The sequence below is a fragment of the Homo sapiens genome, chromosome 14, assembly GCF_000001405.40.
Source record: "Homo sapiens chromosome 14, GRCh38.p14 Primary Assembly".
Taxonomy (NCBI): domain Eukaryota; kingdom Metazoa; phylum Chordata; class Mammalia; order Primates; family Hominidae; genus Homo; species Homo sapiens.
In genome coordinates, this window is record NC_000014.9 from 65,186,923 (window position 1) to 65,196,017 (window position 9,095).

Below are 9,095 nucleotides of genomic sequence, written 5' to 3' on the forward strand. Positions count from 1 at the left end.
AAGAGAAAAGGAAACTAACACATACAGAAACACACATACACATACGCATGAAACAACAACAACAAAGCAAACCCCACATACCCCAACACTGCTCCTCTTTTTGAGGTTCTAAATCCAGTTCTTCCCCCTGGCCTCTTCCTGCCCTGCACATAGCTCACCTGCCTTGGTGGGACCTGCCTGCTTTTATGCTGCTTAAGTCTGAATCACAAAACTGTGAGCCCCTGGAGAGCGGGGCAGGCTTAATCCTATTTTTTTTAATCCCCTGAGATGGGTTAGTCCTTTGCAGGCTATATTTGTTAAAATGAATTGAAATCAGGAGTGTAAGACTTTTTTTTTGAAGGCTTTGTTTCTTTTTCTTGTCTGATGCTTTTTGGGAAGTAGCAATGCTGTAGAAAGGAAGAACAGTAGAGACACTCCTCGATAGTTACAAGGGGAGATGAAGCCTTGGGTCTGATCTGTCCCACATTAGATTCCCATTTGTAGAAGAAAAAAAGAGAAAGGAATGAAGCTACATCTCCCTCATCAAGTTAGCCTGGGGGGTCTGCCGCAAAGAGGATTGAAGGGGAAATGTTCAATTTTACCGCTTTGTTCTGCTGGGTTCTTCTCCCCAGGACACTGTTTAGTGCACTGAGTGAAGTAGAAAATGAAGAGCAGGTGAGCAATCAGCTGTGAAAAGCTTTAATGGGCCCGGCACCCCTTTGGGAATGAGGCTCGGCTCTTGCTAGTGCTGGGGAACAACATCTCTTTCAGTTCAGTAGGCTTTGTTTTTGTAATGGGAATTTAACTCCCTCAGGTGGTCCCGGGATGGAGGAATATTACTGTGCTCAGCAGCAGTGGCGCTGCAGCATCTTCTAAAGGGAACCAAGGCCACTGTCCCCAAAGGGGCCTCCTGGCTCACTGGGAGGCCTTTGGAAATCTCAGACTTCCTGGGTGGGGAGGAGAGGAGGAGATCATGTGACCCCGTGAACAGCATGATGCTGTGATTACCTGGGGCTTCCTAGCAAGGGCACTGGGACAGGTCCTGGAGCGAAGGGGACTGAGAGCTGCAATGGATTCAGACCCAAAGGGGTTGGAACCACCACAGTTCTTGTGGGAGTGAGGAAGTGGCCCAGCCTCTTTTAAGCTCCCTGGGGTGTCCTATAAAGCATAAGGCCTCGGCCAGGCGTGGTGGCTCACGCCTGTAATCCCAGCACTTTGGGAGGCCGAGGCGGGCGGATCACGAGGTCAGGAGATCGAGACCATCCTGGCTAACAAGGTGAAACCCTGTCTTTACTAAAAATACAGAAAGTTAGCTGGGTGTGGTAGCGGGCGCCTGTAGTCCCAGCTACTCGGGAGGCTGAGGCAGGAGAATGGCGTGAACCCGGGAGGCGGAGCTTACAGTGAGCCGAGATCATGCCACTGTACTCCAGCCTGGGCGACAGACCGAGATTCTGTCTTAAAAAAAAAAAAAAAAAAAAAGAATAAGGCCTCAGATTTGGCTGAGGGGGTGGGAAGGGATGTCTATCTGATAACACCGATGAGAAGAAGTAAGAAGCAGGTATCTGTGCTTATGCTATACCAGACCCTGTGCCGAATACTTTATTATGGTATGAGAGCTAACTTTCACTCCCTAACACAAAAATTTAGTCTCTGTCCAATTAGTTTCTTCCTCTCTCTTGCCCTCTAAGGGTTTTCCTGGCTACTGTGCTTTTTAAAAAGGCGTAGCATCAGGGGAATGGATAGCAGAAGGCGGGGGAAGCAGAAGCCTTCTTACTGGGGCAGCTCCGAAGGTCTCCTCTATTATGGAGAACGCTGATAGTGAGCAAAGTGTAGCTAAAAATTTAAAAATGAAGTGAGAGAAACTTAGTGAGCTAAGTTGATGTACATAACAAATATGGGATGGGGAGGAGTGAAAAGCAGAACAAAAATTTGTGGATCCGGCATTGGGTAGGGTTGCCAGATAAAATGTGGGACACCAGTGAAATTTGAAGTTCAGATAAACAACAAAGGATGGTTTAGTATAATCATGTAGTTTTTAGTGTAAGTATGTCCCAAATATTGCATGGGACATATTTATACTAAAAAATAATATTCATTATGTAACTGAAATTTAAATGTATTTATTTTTATTATTATTTTTTCTGAGCTGGAGTCTTGCTCTGTCACCCAGACTGGAGTGCAATGGCACGATCTCGGCTCACTGCAACCTCCACCTCCCGGGTTCAAACAATTCTCCTGCCTCAGCCTCCCAAGTAGCTGGGATTTCAGGTGCCTGCCACAGCGCCCAGCTAATTTTTGTATTTTTAGTAGAGACGGGGTTTCACCATGTTGGCCAGGCTGGCCTCGAACTCCTGACCTCGTAATCTGCCCGCCTCGGCTTCCCAAAGTGCTGGGATTACAGGTGTGAGCCACTGTGCCCAGCTGAAATTTAAATTTAATGGGGGCATACTTTTTTGTTGTTTGGTTTATTTTATTTTGGTTTTGCTAAATCTGTCAAGTCTAGTGGTGAGGAGAGTTTTCTAGAGTTGAGATTCTGGAGCAGATGGTAGGTAGAAGTAGGGGAATTGGGCAGAAGAAGAGAGATTTTAAGAAATGTTGCTGTGGATTGTACATTGGATCCCCTTTTTATGTTATTTGAGTGACACTAGTACTCTTAGAAAACTTTATAAATTATGTTTGGTTTTAGAACTGTCCTCTAATGTAACTCTGTGCAGAGAGTGGGTGATGTGAGATCCTGGCTTATGTCTGGTTTACGTTATCTCACATAATCCTTACAATTATACACGGTAGGTGGCATTATTCTTGCCTTACAAATGAGGAAATTGAGGTTCAGAGAGGTTACATAACTTGCTCAGGGTCACACAGTGGAGCTGGATTCCAAATGTAAGTTCATTTGACCTCGTGTTCTGCAGCCAAAAGAGCCCACTTCAAACCGAATTTCTACTTCCCAACTAAATGCCACTGGGATATACATTTTTAAAAGTACTTGAGGCCGGGCTTGGTGGCTCACGCCTGTAATCCCAGCACTTTGGGAGGCCAAGGCAAGCAGATCACCTAAGGTCAGGAGTTGGAGAACAGCCTGGCCAACATGGTGAAACCCCATCTCGGCTAAAAATACAAAAATTAGCCGGGTGTGGTGGTGGACGCCTGTAATTCCAGCTACTAGGGAGGCTGAGGTAGGAGAATGACTTGAATCTGAGAGGCAGAGGTTGCAGTAAGCCGAGATCACACCATTGCACACCAGCCTGGGCAACAGAGTGAGACTCCGTCTCAAAAAAAAAAAAAAAAGTACTTGAATATAACATGATTAATGCACCTAGAATAGACTCCTTGATTTTTAGTATTCCCTTTTCAGTTGAAGAAACAGATTTCTCGAGAAGATAAGGGTCACACAGGTAGGAAGGTAGTGGAGAGCCAAGACTAGAACCCAGACCCATGCGAGGAAAAATAGGGATGGAAAGCTCCAGGGGAAAGCTGCAAAAACTGGTCAAGCTGACTGCCCCTTTATTGTCAGTCTCTTCCTTCCTCAAATTCACCTCCCTACCCTCTTCCACGTCCCTCTCTTTCCAAGCATTGGGCCATGTTCCATTTCCACGTGTTCCTCCCCTGAGCCAGCTGTCATAATCCCTGCAAGGTGTTAGCTGATAACAGCCTGTGGAAGGATTGTAAAATGTTAGCCCAGCGGAGGATAGGATATGAAAGGCTGTAGAAGTCTAAAAGCAAATGTGTGCTAAGACACATATTGCAGGTGACAGAGGGCCTGGCCACCAGGCAGCCTTGCAAGATGGCATGCACCTTGGAGTATTCACTGTGGCCCAGCGTCTGGTCTGTCCCCAGCCTTGCTAGTGCAGACACTCCATCTTCTCTTGCCTCAAATTTGACTGGATGCAGGGATGGTGATTTGTAGTAATGAAGCTCAAAGAGAGAAATGCAAACAAAAAAACCCAATTTACTAAAGTATAATAAGACATGGGCCGGGTGTGGTGGCTCACGCCTGTAATCCGAAGTGGGTGGATCCTCTGAGGTCAGGAGTTCAAGACCAGCCTGGCCAACAAGGTGAAACCCTGTCTCCATTAAAAATACAAAAATTAGCCGGGCATAGTGCTGGGCGCCTGTAATCCCAGCTACTTGGGAGGCTGAGGCAGGAGAATCGCTTGAACACAGGAGGCAGAGGTTGCAGTGAGCCAAGATGGCGCCACTGCACTCCAGCCTGGGTGACAGAGCCAGACTCCATCTCAAAAAAAAAAAAAAAAAAAAAAAAGTCATAAAACAGCTAAGCTGACTTTAGCTTGACCAGATCTTTCCTCTCACAGGACAAGAAGATACCTGGGGAATCAAGGTATTGGCTGGTCTTTCAGGGCTCCTGGAATCAGTGCAGGTGGAGTTAGATAGGAAGACCAGAGTTTATTCTCATTGAGCTCTAAGATCTGGGGCTGTCACCTCCATGATGAAGGACTACCTGCCACAATCACTAGACACATGCCCCCATTAATCTAAGCATGCTGTCTTCTGGGTAGTGCTAGGATATGGCAGATATCAGACTAGGAAATAAAATGTCACACTCAAAAGGGGGTAGTCATTGCAGAATTTAAAGAAAGGATTCTTTTCCAACATATCTCAAAACCAATAAGGGATGGTTATGCACCCCTAATCTGGCAACCATGGGAGTCATCCCTACCTCAAGGGCAAAAGGAGGAAGGAGTTGCCAGGACCTGGAGGGAACTGTAGTTGCAGCTCCAAGGGAGGGCATTTCTCCAGGATCACGGCCCTTGGTAGAGGAATACAGCCACTGCAAAACATAGGCTAGCAGGGAGGGAACCTGGGGAAGATATCCCCTTGTTTCTCTCGCCTCCTGTCCCCTGATCCTTCTTGTGCCTCCCGTTGGCTGGACGCAGCTGGAACCCAGGGAGCCAGCTGACAGTCTGTAGAGGCCAGCCTCTTAGATCACAGAGCAGGGTAGAGAAGGTGAGAGCGGAAGCAGAGGGGCAGGCAGAGATATGTGGTACATGGGACTGCAGGCATCATGCCTCCTCATTCCTAGGCCTCCTTGCCAGACGACTTTGCTTCTGTTTAAGACATTCCAGAATAATTCCTTCAATCTGGCTAAATGGGGATCTTCCTGGCCTGGGGGCTATTCTCTTTCTTTAAGGTGACTCTAAGTATCTCTCTTCTGATCAGTTAAATGATGTATTCATTAATGTAATCTTATGATCTTATTTTCTTTTTTTTCTTTTTGTTGTTGTTGTTGAGACAGAGTCTCACTCTGTCACCAGGCTGGAGTGCAGTGGTGCGATCTCGGATCACTGCAACCTCTGCCTCCCGGGTTCAAGCGATTCTCTCGCCTCAGCCTCCCGAGTAGCTGGGATTACAGGCACGTGCCAACACACTCAGCTAATTTTTGTATTTTTAGTAGAGACAGGGTTTCACCATATTGGCCAGGATGGTCTCCATCTCCTGACCTTGTGATCCACCCACCTCGGCCTCCCAGAGTGCTGGGATTACAGGTGTGAGCCACCATGCCTGGCCATTTTCCTTCTTTTCTCATGGTTTGTAGGGCCAGGATGGGAACACCTCACAGAGGCCTCCTCAGGCCAGCCTAATTCAGCCTCATTGAATGGAAGAATTAAGGGAAGAGGGGAACTCCAGGGCATGCCAGGGCTCTCTGTCTAATACTGCCTTAGCACCAGCTTTACCAAGCACGTTTGTGTTTTAAAAAGGACTCTTAAAAATACAAAATTTAATACCAAAAGAAATGTCTCTCAAATGGCAAAATTTCAGTTTAGTAGTTGGGAGGTATGAGGTGCTAATGACCCCCCAACCCCAAGATGTCCACATCTTAATCCCCAGAACCTGTGAATGTGTTACCTTGTAGGAAAAAGGGACTTTGCAGATGTGCTTACATTAAGGCTCTTGAGCAGTGGAGATTAAGGATCTTGAGCCTATCCAGGTAGGCTCAATGTAATCATAAGGATCCTTATCAGAGAGAGGCAGGAGGTCAGAAGGACAGAGACAATGTGTGATGACAGAAGCAGATGCTGGGCTGGCGCAATTTGAAGATGTGAAGAGGCCATGAGTCAAGTAATTCAGGAGGCCTCTAAAAGCTGGAAAAGGCAAGGAAATGATTATCTCCTGGAGCCTCCAAGAGGAAGGCAGCTTTTGATTTTAGTTCAGTAAGACCCATCTTGGATGATATGGTTTGGCTCTGGGTCCCCACCCAAATCTCACCTTGAATTGTGATGAACCCCATGTGACAAGGGCGGGGCCAGGTGGACATAATTGAATCATGGGGGGCAGTTTCCTCCATACTGTTCTCCTGATAGTGAGTTCTCATGAGATCTGATGGTTTTATAAGGGGCTTTCCCCCTTCACTCGGCTCTCATTCTTCTCCTTCCGGCCGCCACGTGAAGAAGTGTTGTAGAACTTTCTCCTTAGGGTTCTTGTCACATGACCGGAAAAGATTAGGCTTGTACTAATCTTCACGCTTTGAAAGGTGAGAAAAATGGAATTTATTGGGCAAAAAGAAAAAAAAAAAGGAAAAACAACGTAGCAAAGAGACAGAGAGAGGGGTTCCTGTTAACAGGCCCTCATCTCACAGATTGAATTCCAGGTTACCACCCTGGAACAGGAGAGGCCAGGCTCCTCTCCCCTGCAAAGGGTGCAGACTTCCCACAGCTCCACCCCGTTCTCCCAGTGCACAGGCTGGTTGGAGGTTCTCCGGGGACCCCTCTATACTTGGCTGTCTCAGAAGGATGTGTTTGCTTCTAGTTGTGCCATGATTGTAAGTTTCCTGAGGCCTCCCCAGCCATGCTTAACCGTGAGTCAATTCAACCTCTTTCCTTTATAAATTACCCAGTCTTGGGTATGTCTTTATTAGCAGCATAACGGACTAATACTTTGGATTTCCAACCTCTAGAACTGTAAAGAGAATAAATTTGTGTTGTTGAAGACGCTAAATTTCAGGCAATTTGTAATGGCAGCTAAACAGAGGATATTCTTGGAGTAGAGCCTTCTTTCCAGCATCTTTTGGTCACAGAAGATAGAGGCTACATTAAGACCTCCTTAGGATGCCTTTTTTTGCCAGCCAATTTTGGGTATCTACACAGGTATCAGTGGACTGGAATTCTAAGCACAAAAGCTACCCTGGTAATCTGCCTAATGACATGCAGAATGTATGCCAAAGTGGGTTTCTGCATGGCTAAGCATGTTCCCAGACTTTGTCCTTCACTGCTTATCAGGCCAGGGATGGCTGACGCCCTCCCATCCCCAAGGATTCTGCATTCTCAGAAAGGCAAGTGAGAAAGTCCGGCAGAGCACTGAGGAGGCCACTCTAGGCAGGGACAGGTGGTGAAAAAATTGAGGAGACAAAGGACCCATTTCCTCCTGGTACTCCATTGCAAAAATAACCCAAGGAAAGGGCTTTGAAACTTCTTGAACTGGAACACTGGGGAAAAAAATCTACCACATGAACTTCATGTCATTTAGCAAGTCTCTTTAGTGCTGTTCTCCACCCCTGCAGTGACCCCAACACACTCGCAGGGAGAGGTCCTTCTCTGTAAAGCTGTCTTCTCCAATTAAGTCACACACACTAAATGGAAATGAAGAGGACATTGCTTAAAATGTGCCTTTAGAATGAAATGGATATGAAAAGGCTCAGATCCATTTTAGAGACAAGTTCCTCTGTCAGAAATCAATATAGCCCTCGCATTCTACAATGTGCCAGTTCATAAAGTGAAAACTGCTCGAACTCTCAATTTAACATTGTCAAAGCTGATATTAAATTCTAAGATTTTATATCTGCTGTTGCCTATTTAGGACCAAGTTATAAATCTGAAGTCTCTTCCCAGCTCATAAGTCTGACAGTGCTTGATAAAAACTTTTATAATCAAGTTCGATAAAGAATCACAAATCTCCATCTTGCGATTTTTAGCTCACAACACTCTTCGTAAATAACATCTTCCTGTCTTGGTGCTTGTCAATATTTGTCATTTTTTAAAAGGGATAAAATAGAAATACTATGTAAGCTCTTCCCTTTTGGACAGAAATTATTGTTAGTAAGGGATTCAATGAGTAAGATGTCTTCATAATGGCATTGATAAAGGATGACCACGAAGAACCTGAAGATGGAATCTCCAGTGACACCCATGGTCTGCCGCTGATGGCATTCACAGGAATACAAGACAGGCCGTCATCTGGAAGTCTTAGAAAAAGACTTCTCTGTGCTGGAAATGGGCAAACAGACACTATCTTGTCTAAACTCTCCATAGGCTAGAAATAAAGGGGCCAGTTTTACCTCCAAGCCTGTTTTGAGTAACCTTTCAGAATCAGAACCTTTGAAAAAACATCAAAAAGAGATATGCAAACAAGCTGGACTCTGAGTTTTCTGCGGTTTCCTATCTGTAAAAAGAAACTGGAAACAGTACTATGTATACATATACAGTGAATCCTCACTTAACATTGTCCATAGGCTTTTGGAAACTTTGATTTTTGACTATGAGCATAATGTTGTATGACAAAACCAACTTTTTTTGGCCGAACATGGTAGCTGACGCCTGTAATCCCAGCACTTTTAGAGGCCACGATGGGAGGACTGCCTGAGCTCCGGAGTTTGAGACTAACCTAAGCCACATAGCAAGACCTCGTCTCTACTAAAAATCAAAAAAATTAGCCAGGCATAGTTGCACATGCCTGTAGTCCCAGCTACTCAAGAGGCTGAGGTGGGAGGATGGCTTGATCCCAGGAGATTGAGGCTGCAGTGAGCTTGATCACGCCACTGCACTCCAGCCTGGGTGACAGAGCAAGACCCTGTCTCAAAACAACAAAAAAGCCATTTTTTTCCTCATCAATGTTATAACAAAATGACATTGAGTGAAAGGACGTTATTCAAGGACATTAAGTCATTTTGCTTAAAGTTGAAGTTTCTGAGAACCTATTGTGACCTTAAGTGAAGATTTACTGTATATACATGAATATATACATACATATATACATATGTACTAGGCAGTGTGTAATATATGTAATATGTACTAAAATTATACAGATATGCGTGGGAATGGTAAATATCAAAATCAGGACAGTGGTAACCTCTGAGGAAGAGGGAGAAGGATGTGAGTAGGAGG

General features: G+C 45.4%; 3 annotated features.

Annotated features, from left to right (window-relative positions):
* Window positions 288–990: an enhancer, noted in NCBI's record as "OCT4-NANOG-H3K4me1 hESC enhancer chr14:65653928-65654630 (GRCh37/hg19 assembly coordinates)". NCBI's record gives its function as "activates a minimal SCP1, AML or CMV promoter by ChIP-STARR-seq in naive H9 embryonic stem cells {active_cell/tissue: H9 hESC(naive)}" and the evidence as "EXISTENCE:reporter gene assay evidence [ECO:0000049][PMID:30033119]".
* Window positions 991–1,692: an enhancer, noted in NCBI's record as "H3K4me1 hESC enhancer chr14:65654631-65655332 (GRCh37/hg19 assembly coordinates)". NCBI's record gives its function as "activates a minimal SCP1, AML or CMV promoter by ChIP-STARR-seq in primed H9 embryonic stem cells {active_cell/tissue: H9 hESC(primed)}" and the evidence as "EXISTENCE:reporter gene assay evidence [ECO:0000049][PMID:30033119]".
* Window positions 8,538–8,597: an enhancer, noted in NCBI's record as "active region_8547". NCBI's record gives its function as "activates an Ori minimal core promoter by ATAC-STARR-seq in GM12878 lymphoblastoid cells {active_cell/tissue: GM12878}" and the evidence as "EXISTENCE:reporter gene assay evidence [ECO:0000049][PMID:35858748]".